Below are 15733 nucleotides of genomic sequence, written 5' to 3'. Positions count from 1 at the left end.
CTTGGCTCACTGCAAACTCTGCCTCCCAGGTTCAAGTGATTCTCCTGCCTCAGCCTCCTGAGTAGCTGGGATTACAGGCATGCACCACCATGCCCGGCTAAATTTTTTTGTATTTTTTAGTAGAGACGGAGTTTCACCATGTTGGCCAGGCTGGTCTTGAACTGCTGACCTCAAGTGATCCACCTACCTCAGCGTCCCAAAGTGCTGGGATTACAGGCGTGAGCCACTGTGCCTGGCCTTTTTATTTTGCTGAGTGTTTCCTTTGATAACAGGAGCTTTTTCATTTTACACAGTCTCATTTATTTATTTTTGCTTTTGTAGCCTGATCTTTTGTTGTGATATCCAAAACATTATTGCCAAGGCTAATGTTGAGGAACCTTTCCCTTCCGTTTTCTTCTGGGAGTTGTGTGGTTTCTGGTCCTACACTTAGGCTATCCTTTTCCCATTGTATCCTCTTGGTGCCCTTGTCAAAAATTAGTTGACTGCAGCTGGGTGCAGTGGTTTACACCTATAATCCCAGCTCTTTGGAAGGCCGAGGTGGGCAGATCATCTGAGGTCATGGGTTTGAGACCAACCTGGCCAACATGGTGAAACCCCGTCTCTACTAAAAATACAAAAAATAGCCAGGAGTGGTGGTGGGCCCCTATAGTCCCAGCTACTTGGGAAGCTGAGGTGGGAGAATTGCCTGAACCCGGAAGGCGGAGGTTGCAGTTAGCCGAGATTGGGCCACTTCACTGCAGCCTGGGCGACAGAATGAGGTCTCCAAAAAAAAAAAAAAAAAAGAGTTGACTGCACGTGTCTTTAAAGTAAGTGGATAGACCCACTTTTAAAATTCCCTTTCTCTTTCTTCACCCCTAAAGTCTACAACATTGGGGGAAAAAGCTAGGTGGGAGGCCGAGTACAGCGGCTCACACCTGTAATCCCAGCACTTTGAGAGGCTGAGGTGGGCAGATCACTTGAGGTCAGGACTTTGAGACCAGCCTGACCAAGATGGTGAAACCCCGTCTCTACTAAAAATACAAAAATTAGCTGGGCGTGGTGGCACGCGCATGTAATCCCAGCTACTCGGGAGGCTGAGGCAGGAGAATCACTTGAATCCGGGAGGCGGAGGTTGCAGTGAGCCGACATGGTACTATTGCACTCCAGCCTGGGCAACAAGCGTGAAACTCTGTCTAAAAAAAAAAAAAAAAAAAGCAAGAAAGAAAAAGGCAAGTGGGTAAAAAAAAAAAGGCAAAACTTGAATATAAGGAAATATAATTCATCATCCACAAACACAACTCAACTTATCCTAGATGGTGTGACTTTTCCAGGCTAGTCACTACAACTATTGCATGACAAACAGCAATGCAAGAGGAATAATACCCCAGCTAAGACTATATCAGCTAATTAGTCAACACTATAATTAAAAAGTGGTGCTAGACATGATAAAACCCTAAAGAATTAGAATGCTCAAGGATCAGAATATCACAGGTAGTTTGTTTTTCTGGTTGATATAGAATCTGTAAATAACTCAGTTAATTTCAAAGCATATTCCTTCAGTGGAGATAATAGGAGTTAGTTACATGGGCACAGTCTAGGCCATCAAAGAGCTCACATTCTGGTCGGAAATCTGACATATTAACAGAACATGTTGAAAAGAATGAGGAAAAGGCAGAGACAGCTATGCAGGGGAATTTTAGGAGCAGTGAGGAGGGAGAGGTGAAAGGAGGTAAGGCTTTCTGGCAAGGTGCACCCAAGCTGAATCATAAGGATGAGGACTTTGCTAGATACAGGGAGAGGGGCTTGCCTAGGGCACCAAAGGGAAGAGACAGTCTCAGCTTAGTGCTTGGTGTGAAGAAGACACTCAGGAGAGAAAGACCTTGGGGGATTTGGGAAGCCGTGGGCGCTTGGAGCACCGAAGGAGTCAGCAGAGAGAAACTGGACAGCTTGGCCTGCACCTGCCCTGCTGAAGGGGGCTGGGGCTTATCATATGGAGCAGGGGAACCAAGGAAAAGTTGTCAGCATGAGAATTACATGAGATAAGAAAACCCTATAGTTCCCTTAATGAAACCCAATCTCCAAGATTGGCAAGGGATGGATAACATTTACACTATGGATGGATTGATCAAGCCTTGTACCCCTAATTGTAATCAACAAGGGAATCCTGAGGGGAACACAGATTTGGGGAGACAGGAGGTGTTGAGCTAGTGGTTACACATGCTCCTCTAAAGCGTCTGGGGTCAGTACACAGTGGAGTCACAAATTCGAGAAAGTGGAATGAGGGAAGTGAGTGGAGAAGTGAGCTCAGGATTACATTTTGTGTTCAACATTTACAAGGTGGAGTGAGAGAAATTCTACCAAGCACAGGGAAGGCAGAATCGGGGAAGGGCAGAGTCAGCCAGAGAGCGTTGTTGGGAGACCCAGGGGATCTGAGTTTCCTCTGTGCCAAAGGCAGAGTCCAGAAGGTGAAGAGGGTGGAGGCAGCTGGGCTGCAGGGAGTGGAGACAATGGAGAGCAGAAGAAATACGAGAGCGAAGGCATGCTGCCCTTTGGAGAATGGGGATTTAAAGGGAATGTAATAATTTGCTAAGGCTGCCATAATAAAGTACCCATGGAACAGGTCACTTAAACAGGAGAAATTAATTTTCTCACAGTTTTGGAGGCTGGAAGTTCGAGATCAAGGGGCTGGTTTCCCCTCAGGTCGCTCTCCTTGGCTTGCAGTCCACCACCCTTTCCCTGATTCTCCCCTCTGTGTGTGTGTCTGTGTTCTCATCTCCAGTTCTTATAAGGACATCAGTCGTAGTGGATTAGGGCCCATGAGAATGACCTCATTGTAATTTAATCACCTCTTTAAGAACGTTATCTCCAGAGTCACATTCTGAGGTACTGGAGGTTAGGAATTCTACATGTAAATTTTAGGAAAATGCAATTCAGCGAATAACAGGGGGAGAAGAGGAATTTTATGTTAGCTGGAGGGGACCATGAGGTTGGGAGGAGTTGCCCCACTTAGAATGGGAAAGACTTGAGGATGCTGCCAGACATCTCAGGTAAGGCACTGGCAGAAGGAGTTCGGAGAGAGGGAGTGGCTCACACAGCAAGGCCTCAGGGTAGCAGGGAGAGAATCAGACCAAGGACACACGTAGATGGGAATAGTGGGTGTAGAGAAGACACTAGGGTGGGGGCAGAAAGGTTTAGGGAATTGGTGGGGGAAGAGTATTAAGAGACACAGAACATTAAGACTATTTGTCTTTGTTTGTTTGTGTTGCTCCAACAAAATACCAAAGACTGGGTAATTTTTTTTTAAATTTTACTTTAAGTTCTGGGATACATGTGCTGAACGTGCAGGTTTGTTACATAGGTGAACATGTGCCAGGGTGGTTTGCCACACCTATCAACCTGTCATCTAGGTTTTAAGCCCCACATGCTTTAGGTATTTGTCCTAATGCTCAAGACTGGGTAATTTTTAAATAATACAAATTTACTTCTCATTACTCTAGTTGCGGAGAAATCCAAGATCAAGGTGCCAGCAGGTTGTGTGTCTGGTGAGGGCTGCTCTCTGCTTCCAAGATGAGGCCTGTTGCTGCATCCTCCAGAGGGGACAAACCCTGTGTCCTTGCATGGCAGTAGGGTCAGAAGGGCAAGAGGCGGTCCCTTCAACCTTGAGTCCTTTAATAAAGGCACTAACCTCATTCAGGACAGCCGAGCTCTCATGACTTAATCACCTCCTAATGCCCCACCGCTTATTGTTATTGCCTTGGGGATTCAGTTTCAACATATATTTTGGAGGAGACACTATCATCCAAATCACAGCAGTGTTCATGCCTGATTCCCTCCATTTTCATCTCATAGGAGGCAAGGTTGTTGAAGATGAGGGAATAGGGGTTGAGTTGAGAATGGATAAGATTCAGGAAATTAGAGTTAGAGAGGGAGGTAACCAAATACATTGCAAAGGACTAACGGGCAGCAGTGAAGGATCAGCCAAGTTTGGGGACCATTGGTTTATGGTGTCATCAAGTCACATGGCTAAGCACAATCTGGAAAATACGATGGGACTATAGCTGTACAGGCTAGTGGGGTTTATCTGCCATCATCTCTGTACCTGAAGGTGGACCTTGTTTTGCCATAGAAGCTGCCATTCTTAAGGTGGGCTCTGACCCTTCGTTTTGCAGTGAGTCTGTTTTCCGAGCAAGGCTCTGATTGAATGTCCAGTGTGCTTTAAGGTCCTGTCTCCTCTGTGTGTCTGTCACCCAGCAGCCAGTTGGCCACTGTTCTAGCTCTGATGGCTGGGGGAAACTGTGCTAGATTATACAGAGAGGCACTAAAATCTGAGCCCCTGAAAAATTGTTATGGATTTCTTATACTCATAAAAAAAGAAATTATTCACCAATCAGTGACACTTGTGAAAATCTGCCTGAATTAAAGTCAGCAAAAAAGGACATCAAATTAGTCCACACTACTGGGGAGGGAGGTTGGAGTGTGAAGATTTGCAGGAGAAATCATGTCCTTTTTTGGATACTGCCACCTTTTAGGTAAATGCCCAAGAACTAAAGAATGTAGATCAGTTATAGGAGTTAGAATTCCTACTGCATTCTCACGTTTACCTATATTATTCCATTAAGTAATCAGCAATGCTATGGAGATGATATTATGGCCATTAAAGGAAAAAGAGTCTGAGTCTGATCAACTTTCCCAAGATCAATAGCTGGTAATTGGTGAGCTGATTGTTCCTGACCCCACACCTACACTTTTTCCCACACACAGGTGTACCTCATTTTATTGGCATTGCTTTATTGCACTTTGAAGACACTGCTTTTTTTTTTTTTTAAACAAATTGAAGGTTTGTGGCAACCCTGAGTTGACCAAGTCTACCAGCACCATCTTTTCAAAAGCATATGCTCATTTTCTGTTTTTGTGTCAGACTTTGGTAATTCTCACAATATTTCAAGTGTTTTCATTATTATTCTATCTGCTATGGTGATTTGTGATCAGTGATCCTTGATGTTACTATTGTAATTGTTTTGGAGCTCCATGAACCGTGCCCATATAAGACTGTGAACTTAATCAATAAATGGTGTTTATGTTCTGACTGCTCCACCGACCTGCCATTCCCATCTCTCTCCCTCTCCTCAGGCCTTCCTATGCCTTGAGTCACAATAATATTCAAATTAGGCCAATTAATAACCCAATAATGGCCTCTATGTGTTCAAATGAAGAGTTACAATCTGTCACTTTTAATCAAAAGCAATAAATGATTAAGCTTAGTTAGGAAGGCATGTCAAAAGTCAAAATAAGCCAGAAGCTAGGCTTTTTGTGCCAGATAGCCAAGTTGTGAATACAAAGGAAAACTTCTTGAAGGAAATGAAAAGTGCTACCCAAGTGAACATACAAATGATAAGGAAGCGAAACAGCCTTTTTGTTGATATGGATGAAGTTTGAGTGGTCTGGAGAGAAGAACAAACCAGGCACAACATTCCCTTAAGCCAAAGCTTAATCAGAGACACATTGTGACTCTCTTCTTTTTTTTTTTTTTCCGAGACAGAGTTTCTCTCTTGTTGCCCAGGCTGGAGTGCAATGGCACGATCTCGGCTCACTGCAACCTCTGCCTCCCGGGTTCAAGTGATTCTCCTGCCTCAGCCTCCTGAGTAGCTGGGATTACAGGCATGCGCCACCGTGCCTGACTAATTTTGTATTTTTAGTAGAGACTTGGTTTCACCATGTTGGTCAGGCTTGTCTCGACCTCCTGACCTCAGGTAACCCACCCGCCTCAGCCTCCCAAAGTGCTGGGATTACAGGCATGAGCCACCGCGCCCGGCCAACTCTCTTCAATTCTATGAAAGCTGAGAGAGGTGAGGAAGCTGAAGAAGAAAAGTTTGAAGCTAGCAATCGTTGGTTCATGGAGTTTAAAGAAAGAAACTGTCTCTGTAATATAATGCAAGGTGAATTCCTAGTGATGATGGAGAAGCTGCAGTAAGTTATCCAGAAGATCTAGCTAAGATCATTGATGAAGATGATTACACTAAACAACAGATTTTCAATGTAGACAAAACAGCCTTCTATTGGCAGGAGATGCCATGTAGGTCTTTCATAGCTTCAAAGGACAGGCTCACTCTCTTGTTAGGGGCTCAGGCACCTGGTGACTTGAAGTCGAAGCCAAAGCTCATTTACCATTCTGAAAAGCCTACGGCCCTTAAAAATTATGCTAAATTTGTGTGCTCTTATAAAGTGTGCTCTATAAGTAGAACAACAGAGCCTAGATGAGAGTATCTCTATTCACAGCATGGTTTACTGTACACTTTAAGCCTACTGTTGAGACCTATGGCTCAGAAAAAAAGATTTCTTCCAAAATATTGCTGCTCACTGACAATGCACCTAGTCAACCAAGAGCTCTGATAGAGATGTACATGGAGATGAAAGTTGTTTTCATGCCTGCAAACATGACATCTGATTTGGTTTGGCTGTGTCCCCATCCAAATCTCATCTTGAACTGTAGCCTCCATAATTCCCATATGTTGTGGGAGGGACCTGATGGGAGATGATTAAATCATGGGGGTGGTTCCCCTATACTGTTCTCATGGTAGTGAATAAGTCTTATGAGATCTGATGATTTTATAAGGCGTTTCCCCTTTCGCTTGTCTATCATCATTCTCTCTTGTCTACCACCATGTAAGACGTGCCTTTCATCTTCCACCATGACTGAAGCCTCCCCAGCCATGTGGAACTGTGAGTCCATTAAGCATCGCTGTTTTATGAATTACCTAGTCTCAGGTATGTCTTTATCAGTAGCGTGAAAACAGAGGAATACGACATCCATTCCACAGCCTACGGATCAAAGAGTCATTTGGACTTGCAAGTCTTCTTAGTTAAAAATACATTCCATAAGGCTATATCTGCCATAGATAGTGAGTCCTCTGATGGACCTGGGCAAAGTCCATTGAAAACCTTCTGGAGGATTATTTGTAATCCAAAGGATAAATGCTTGAGGGGATTGCTTGAGGGGATGGATACCCCATTCTCCATGATGTGCTTACTTCACAGTGCATGCCTGTATCAAAACATCTCCTGTACCCCATAAATTTATACACCGTGCACCCAAAAAAATTTGAAAAAATAATTTAAAAATTAAAAAAAAAAGAAAAACTTCTGGAAAGGAATCACCATTCTAGACGCCATTAAGAACATTTATGATTCATGGGAAAAGGTCAAAATATCAACATTAGCAGGAGTTTAGAGGTTGATTCCAACCTTCGTGGATGACTGAGGGGTTCAAGACTTCAGTGGAGGAAGAAACTGCAGATGTGGTAAAAAGTGCAAGAGAACTAGAATGCGAAGTGAAGCCTGTAAATGTGACTGAATTGCTATAATTTCATGATCAAACTTGAACAGAGGAGTAGTTACTTCTTATGGATGAGCCAAGAAAGTAGTTTCTTGAGATGGAATCTACTCTTGGTGAAGATGCTGCGAACACTGTTGAAATGACCACAAAGGCTTTAGAATATTACATCAACTTAGTTGATAATATAGTGGTAAGCTTCGAGAGGATTTTGACTCCCTTTTTTTTTTTTTTTTTTTTTTGAGACAGGGTCTCCTCTGTTGCCCAGATTGGAGTGCGGTGGCACAATCACGGCTCACTGCAGACTCAACTTCCCAGGCTCAGGTGATCCTCCCAACTCAGCCTCCTGAGTAGCTGGGACTTCAGGGATGTGCCACCAGGCCGACTAATTTTTCGTATTTTTAGTAGAGATGGGGTTTTGCCATGTTGCCTAGGCTGGTCTCGAACTCCTGGGCTCAAGCAATCCTCCTATCTTGGCCTCCCAAAGTGCTGGGATTACAGGCGTGAGCCACCACGCCCAGCCTTGACTCCAATTTTTTTTTTTTTTTTTTGAGATGGAATCTCGCTCTGTTGCCCAGGCTGGAGTGCAGTGGCATGATCTTGGCTCACTCAAGCTCCGCCTCCTGGGTTCAAGCCATTCTCCTGCCTCAGCCTCCTGAGTAGCTGGGTCTACAGTGCCCGCCACCACGCCTGGCTAATTTTTTCTATTTTTTAGCAGAGACGGGGTTTCACCGTGTTAGCCAGGATGGGCTCGATCTCCTGACCTCGTGATCCACCCACCTTGGCCTCCCAAAGTGCTGGGATTACAGGCGTGAGCCACCGCGCCCGGCCCCTTGACTCCAATTTTGAAAAAAGTTTTACTGTGGGTAAAATGCTGTCAAACAAATATTGCACGCAACAGAGAAACCTTTCATGAAAGGAAAAGTCAATTGATGTGGCAAACTTCATTGTTGTCTTATTTTTAAAATTGTCACAGCCAGCCGGGGCAGTGACTCATGCCTGTAATGTCAGCAGTTTGGGAGTCCAAGATGAGTGGATCGCTTGAGGCCAGAAGCTTGAGACCAGCCTGGGCAACATAGCGAGATCCTGTCTCTACAAAAAATACAAAGTGAAAAAAAAATTTATTTTAAAAAGAGACATTGCCACAGCCACCCCTACCTTTAGCAACTACCACCTTGATCACAGCAGCCATCCACATCGAGGCAAGACCCTCCCTCCGCAAGAAGATTATGACTTGCTGATGGCTCAGATTACCATTAGCATTTTTTAGCAATAAAGTATTAGGTACTTTTTTGTGACATTATGCTATGACACACTTAACAGACTACAGTATAGTGTAAACATAACTTTTATATGCACTGGGAAACAAAAAATTCATGTGACTCACTTTATTGTGATATTCATTTATTGTAGTGGTCTGGAACTAAACCCACAATATGTCTGAGGCATGCCTGTATTGCCCAGAGAGAAAGTTAGACTAAAATGAAACATACTAGGTGAATTATAGTGTAGGTGGCAGAAAAATGTGACGAGTTCTATGTAGCATATCTACCGTAGTAACCTTCACCACGGGGAGCCAGTCAGAGGTAATCCATTGCAGGGGTGTCTGTCGTATCCAGGCTTCAGGGAACCTACTTTGAGGGTATAAGAAATATGTCTATTCTTCTCTGTTTCTGAGGCCTTAAAGTAAGGTCTGATGATCGTGGAGTTAGGTGTAGCATCATGTAAGAATTAGAAGCAGTCAGAGAGGCAGGGCACAGTGGCTCATGCCTGTAATCCCAGCTACTCGGGAGGCTGAGGCAGGAGAATCACTTGAACTCGGGAGTTGGAGGTTGCAGTGAGCCGAGATCGTGCCACTGCACTCCAGCCTGGGTGACAGAGTGAGACTCTTGTCTCAAAAAAAAAAAAAAGAAGCAGTCAGAGAAATGAGCACGTCTGCCTTTTTAGTTCTAGAGACCTAACTCCTCTTGAAATAGGAAAGGATGCATATGCTAATTATGCTTAAGGATTTGTAATCCTGATTTTAACTCAGCAAAAAGATCACCAGCACACTGAAACTCCTTGCAGCTTTGCCATAGACCCACTGGGAGGGTTAAAGGAAAGTGTTTTTTCTCTTCATCCTTGTGCCTCTTATACTACCTCCTTTTCTCAAAATAACAACCTATCCCACAGAGGTCAGTGGGAAAGAGGAGGTATGCTCTCTTCTAAATGGCTGGGTCTTTGAATGTAGTCAGGAGATTTCAAATCATAGATTGCATAAAAGACTCCCCTTTCCCACAGCCAACATAGTTGTTCTCTGCTTCTCATTATGACACATAATCTGTAAAAGAAAAAAAGAGCTTGAAACACCCACCATCTCTTTCAAGGTGTCCCTGGTTCCTCTTTTCTGTTCAGGATTGAAATTGCCTTGCCTGCCAGTCACTTCAGGTAGATGGATGTGCTTTGCTCTTGCTTCCTAATGTGGGACAGTGATCAGGCTTGGCGAATTTCTTCCAACTCTCCCACTGACTTATTATGCCACTCACCCCTATCCATTGGCACTGGCTGGGAAATGTTGATAAAGAAATTACATGCAGCCTGGCATAGTGGTGCATGCCTGCAGTCCCAGCTGCTCAGAAGGCTGTGGCAAGGAGTTCAGGGCTATAGGACCCCATGTTCATGCCTATGAATAGCCACTGTCCTCCAGCCTGGACAACACAGTGAGACCTCATTCATAAATAAATAAACACATAAATAAACAGAAATCACACTCAGTGGATAAATGGAATGTGGTATAAACATACAATGAAATATTATTCAGCTTTGAAAAAGAAGGAAATTCTGCCATATGCAACAACATGGATGAGCCTGGAGGACTATATGCTAAGTGGAATAAGCCAGTCACTGGAGAACAAATGCTGCATGATTCTGCTTATATGATGTATCTTAAAATAGTCAAAACTCAGGAAACAGAGAGTGGAACGGTGGGTGCCATGATGTAGAGGGAGAGGGAAAGGGAAAGGGGAATTGCTGTCCAGTGGATCTAAAGTTATGCAAGGTGAATAAGTTCTCGAGATCTGCTGTACAACGCTGCGCCACCATTAACAAAACTATATTGTGCACTTAAATATTTGTTAAGAGGGTAGATTTCATGTTAAGTGTTCTTACCACAGTAAAGAAAAAAAAGAAGGAAATCACACTCGGATAGCTTCCACTTAAGTAGATTCAGACGCAATTTTCTGCGAGTGTTAGAGAGAAGAGAGCCCAAATAGACTGGGGTCAGAAGACGGGGATTGGCCACAGCAGATGTCCGTGGGGAAGAAACTTTGTAGTTTGAGTACAAGTTTTTTCAAATGAAGTTATCTGCTCTGCCTCACAGGGTCCTGCGAGGATCTAATTAGATGCCTGTTTGTGAGTTTTGAAATACTAAGTGATGATAATTTAAGTAAACACATGTTCACAAAGGCCTCCCAAAAGTTCCTCCTGACTTTATGTGATTCACTAACCCAGGCCTGTACTCTCTATTGTGGGTCTTCTTAAATATCTGTTGTGGGGTGAGAGGTTTGAAGAATTATAAGTGGGGGAGTTTATAAAGAGTGCTTACTTCTTAAATAGGAAGAATCCCATTCAACTGCATTTTCTGTTTTGTTTTGTACTTCCACTGAGGGACAGATTAACAGAGTAGCTGGGGAAAGAAAGGAAAGGGAGGAGTCTATAAGCCTCACCATCAGGTGCCTATACGGTGTCTGGGGAGGCTAGATTTACTTATGTAAAAAGAACTGCCCAGCAATACAAGGCTTATTATCTGATTAAGTATTACACAAATAGATGGTATGAGTCATGGTTAAACGGCTTGCCTGGCTGACACAGCAGAGAAAATTATTCTGTAAGATGCATTTGAATGTGCCCTAAGGGAGATGGGTGGCAAAAACTGTTAACCACATCTGGGTTGAACAATCTGTAAAAAAAAAAAAAGCATGACCAGAATGTGAAAGAGATCAACTCAACACCCATAGAGCTTTAAAACCCCCATTCTAACTTTCAGAGAAAATCTGCTGATGTTGACTATGGGTGCTACTGTGCTGGTGAGATTGCCCCAGTCTAACACTCAAAATGACCCTTAGCGATCACCTTTCCAGGACCAGAAAAGAGACCTTATGAATTCAGTGATGGGACTGAAATAGTCATTCTCTACTGCAATGGTTTCCTCTGGGGATGAAAAGGAATGGGATAGGAGTGGAGAACATATATTTTATCTGTAGGGCTTCATTTCATAGGAGTGAGAGAAAAGGGAAAAAGAAAACAAATTCAGCAGGATGCAGTGGCTCATACCTGTAATCCCAGCACTTTGGGAGGCTGAGGCAAGAGGATTGCTTCAGCCCAGGAGTTCAAGACCAGCCTGGGCCACATAGTGAGACCCAACATTGGTTTAACTCACAGATGCAAAACCCATGGAAACAGAGAGCCAACTGTTTTTTTTTTTTCCACCGTGAAGGTTGGTATTGAACATTTTAGAGTAGTTTCAAAACAACATCGAGATGCTTCTTTCTTCTTCATTTCATTTCTTTATCAACTTTCAGTCTTTTTATTTCCACTTTTTACTTCTACTGGTGTTTACCATTTATTGTTTATTAATTTCAACTTCCTCAAGGCATGTGCAACAAATGTGAAATTTACTTTTGGAAGAAAGAACTTACCTCACACACAGAGTGAGTGTCTAATGGAAAAAAAATAAAACAAAACAAAACAAAACAAAAAAAACCTCCATTACAGCTTCTTTCTTAAAATTAAAGTGAGTTTTTAGTTCTCCGGAAAAGAAAGTGTGGAGGACAAGGAAATATGAGTTGTCATCTGCTTCTCCCAAGCCTCCCTGTTTCATGATCTCATTCTAGGCCCAAGCAGTCATCTCCCCACCCTGGGCCTAGGAACGGTCATCTCCTGGACACAGGAATTGCAAGTATCCTGGAGCCAGTAGGGAATTTCCATGCAAGGAACATGACGGCAAAAGCCCGGGAAAGAGAAGGGCCACAACTCCACCCCAGATACTTTGCCAGGGCTCTTGCCAGGCCATGCTGAATGAAGAAAGATATCCCTTGTTTTACTTTTGAGAAGACATCTGACTTAGCCCCAACTTGTGTGGTTGCATGTTGCCCTAATAATGGCTTAGAACAGTGCTGTCTCCTCTTTTGAGAATCACTGTCTTACTCAGTTACTTTTATTATGGCAGTCTATTATATAGCTCAGGCATCAGACATAATTGAGAACCATCAGCTCAAAGTTTTTAGGTAAGTCAGAATAGCTGGAGTTTCTGCGATAGCTCCCAGGAGCTATGGAACCCAGCCATCAAAGTGGAGACCTAGGTACCCTGGTCATAACCTCCCAGGATTCATTCTGAGATTTGCCGATCTCACAGTCCTACCCTTCAGCAAGATAATTCAGAGGTTTCCATAAACCTCAGAGCTTACCTACAGCCACATGCTCACTTAGGAAGTGCCTGCTCCATATACCTTCTTGGAGCTGGAACAGGTCACCCAGAGAGCATACCTGTCCCAGGAGACCAAGATGTCCAGTCACCTTAGATCATCCAGACTTTGTTTTTTCCTTTTCTCTCCTAGCCAGGGCAAGTGTGGCTCTCACAGTGGGCACACCCATAGAAGAGGTAGAGGTTTCTGATCCTAGATAATAACAAATAATTATTAAGTACTTACTGTAAATCCAACACAGTCCTAAGCAATTCAAATACACTAACGCTTTTAACCTTCCCAACAACCCTCCAGATAGGTACCATTAGCCCCATTTTACGGATGGGAAAGTAGAGATAGTGACTTGTCCAGGCAGTAGCTATTGAGGACTCTGGCCCACTCAGGCCCTGTGTCTCCATAAGCTGTCCTTTCTGGGGATGTTAAGAAAAGGAGAGGAGGTCTTGCACAATTGATTTATTAGTTAAAGAGGAAAAGGATAACCATCCCAAGAGATTTTAAAAGCAGAGCAGAAAAATTGTTAAAAACTTAGGCCTAAGAAATTGCTGCTAGACAGCTGTCAAGGGAGACCCCCTCGAGATCACGGAGGGAGGGGGCAAATATCTGTCTGTGAGCTGTTTGGTGTGGCTGGTGACATATTAGAGGAAATATAAATGCACTGAGTGACTTGTGGGAACGCTGAAATACTTGAGTAACGCCTAGGTAGAATGTGCATCAGAAACCATTATCTAGCCTAGCAGTTTAAAACAAATAAAGGAGCAAATTGCTAGAAAACCCTGGGCCAGAATGGAGTTTCTTATTCTTCAGTTTCCGTCGCTCAGAATGTGTGGGGAATGAGGTTGAGAAAGGCTTATTCCACTCGGGTACCTGGCTCCGTAAATTCAGAACAACAGGATTGCTTAAATCCTGTACTATATCATCCCGTGAAGATTTCCAGAGAGGCAAGTGCTCTTGTGAGAAGTTCTCCTGCTCTAGTTTTTGATTCCTTCCCGACCATGAGAGCATGTTAAGAACACCCTGGTGGGTAGCAGGGCAGCTGCACCCAGTCCCAAAGGGTGCAGGCGAGCCCCAGGGACACTGCAGAGCTGGGCATTGCTCAGCGGAAAGCAGCTCCGCTCGGTCTGAGCACGCCTGCAGGCAGCTGAAAGGTGCCTTAGACTGCTGGGGAGACAAGAAGTAGCCTGCTTGCAGAGACGGAGATTTTCAGCACAGTGCCTAGGGAATTCACCCTATATTAACAAAATGATTGGGCTGCAGAGTGTAAAAGCTGGGACGGCCCTGGCGTTTTCTAGGCCACAGGCTGAACATGTTCGCTCCTTAGAAAATATTTTAATCAGCCACAGCTCTTTCCTGACGGTACCAGTGGCTGAGCTCCGGAAAAATAAGAAAGGATGTGGATGGGATATGGTGAGTGCCAAGAGATTCCCCCTCTAGTTTAGTACTGCTTTCCTTGTGTTTGGGCTTGTTTTAGAAAAACAAGCCAGCCGACCATGACGGCTGACTCCATCAATCCAGAGCTATACTGGTAAACACTTGAAATTCATCCTTGCGGTAAAGGAAGTTTAAAAAAAAAAAAAAGCAACAACTGTTTGCCTCTTCTCTTGGTAACATCCAGTTCTTGGTAACATCAGTGCTGGAAAACTCCATTGCTCCCAAGAAATATGCAGGAGGAGCATGTGTTTTTCCAAGTTGATTTTATTACTTTAACCCAGGAGCCTCTGTGACACAGACCAACAGGGTGACAACAGTGATTGGGCTGTCTGGGTGGGCATGAGTGTTCAGTGTGTGTGTGTGCCATTTTCCCTAATTATTACAGCATAACTTCCTCTTTGCTTTACCAGACTAAATCTCAACAATGAAGCATGATGTGTAAATTTCTCGTATGTTTGCTCTTTCCAGTTCTAGGAAAAATCCGAACCGCAGTGGGCAGTGCCCAACTTCTCATGGCCCAGAAATTCTACCAGTTCAGAGAACTGTGTGAAGAAAACCTGGTAGGTAACACTCTCCTTCTACAATTTCCCTGCTAGTGCCATGAGAAGAACATGTCACCAAGACTGGCCCAACTAAAGTAAAACTGATTTTGAACCAAGTCAAGGTCCATTGGAGTCTCTCACTTGGAACAGAGAATTTTCTGATGAATCTTATTTCCTGATTGTCTTAAAATTAAAATATTTATTTTTCACTTAAATAATCTTAGAAAAAATTCAGTCAAGTTAAAATTATTTCCTGCTTCTTTTGTAACTGAAAATTTTCCATTTTCCTGGCTTTCACATAGCTTTTCTGATTTTATTGTTCTTATCAAAATATGAAGCAGCTTGATATTTCAAAAATAATATTGCCCAAAAAAAATCATTTTGGATAGTGATTTTCTTTCTAAAATAGCAGTCAATGACTATTTCCTAATCTGAGTTCTCTGTTTTAATTCAAGAGCTAGAAGTCAAGGGCATCACAAAGTGTAGATTTGATCTTCTTGAAACAAATGAAGAATTCATCCTTCTTGGACATGCAAAAACAAAGCAAAACAGGCTGGGCGCAATGGCTCACGCCTGTAATCCCAGCACTTTGGGAGGCCAAGGCAGACGGATCACCTGAGGTCAGGAGTTCGAGACCAGCCTGGCCAAGATGGCAAAACCCTGTCTCTACTAAAGATACAAAAATTAGCTGGGCATGGTGGCAGGTGCCTATAATCCCAGCTACTCAGGAGGCTGAGGCAGGAGAATCACTTGAACCCAGGAGGCGGAGGTTGCAGCGAGCTGAGGTTCATTGCACTCTAGTTTGGGGGACAGAGTGAGACTTCATCTCCAAAAAAAAAAAAAAAAAAAAACCTTCAAGAATAGCTTTTATTGCTCAATTGTTGGTCAAGCTGGATCTAAAACAAAGAAAATGAAAAGCAATTTGTTTACCTTTTGGCAAGTGAAGACAATTATTAGCAATCTAAATTACTTAAAATATGATCTTAGAGGTT

At 43.4% G+C, this 15733-nt stretch overlaps 1 protein-coding gene across 33 annotated transcripts in view; it reads left to right on the top strand.

Annotated features, from left to right (window-relative positions):
- Positions 1-15733, top strand: part of DLGAP1 (DLG associated protein 1) — a 959276-nt gene that overhangs the window by 931979 nt on the left and 11564 nt on the right. For all 33 annotated transcript variants that reach the window (NM_001398527.1, NM_001398526.1, NM_004746.4 and 30 more), the window contains one exon: positions 14668-14759. In NM_001398527.1, coding sequence (NP_001385456.1) covers positions 14668-14759 — 92 coding nt within the window. The remainder of the gene's footprint in view (positions 1-14667; positions 14760-15733) is intronic.

Source organism: Homo sapiens, chromosome 18 (assembly GCF_000001405.40).
Source record: "Homo sapiens chromosome 18, GRCh38.p14 Primary Assembly".
Taxonomy (NCBI): Eukaryota; Metazoa; Chordata; class Mammalia; order Primates; family Hominidae; genus Homo; species Homo sapiens.
Note: the sequence above shows the minus strand (reverse complement) of the source record. Positions and strands in the feature narration are given on the sequence as shown.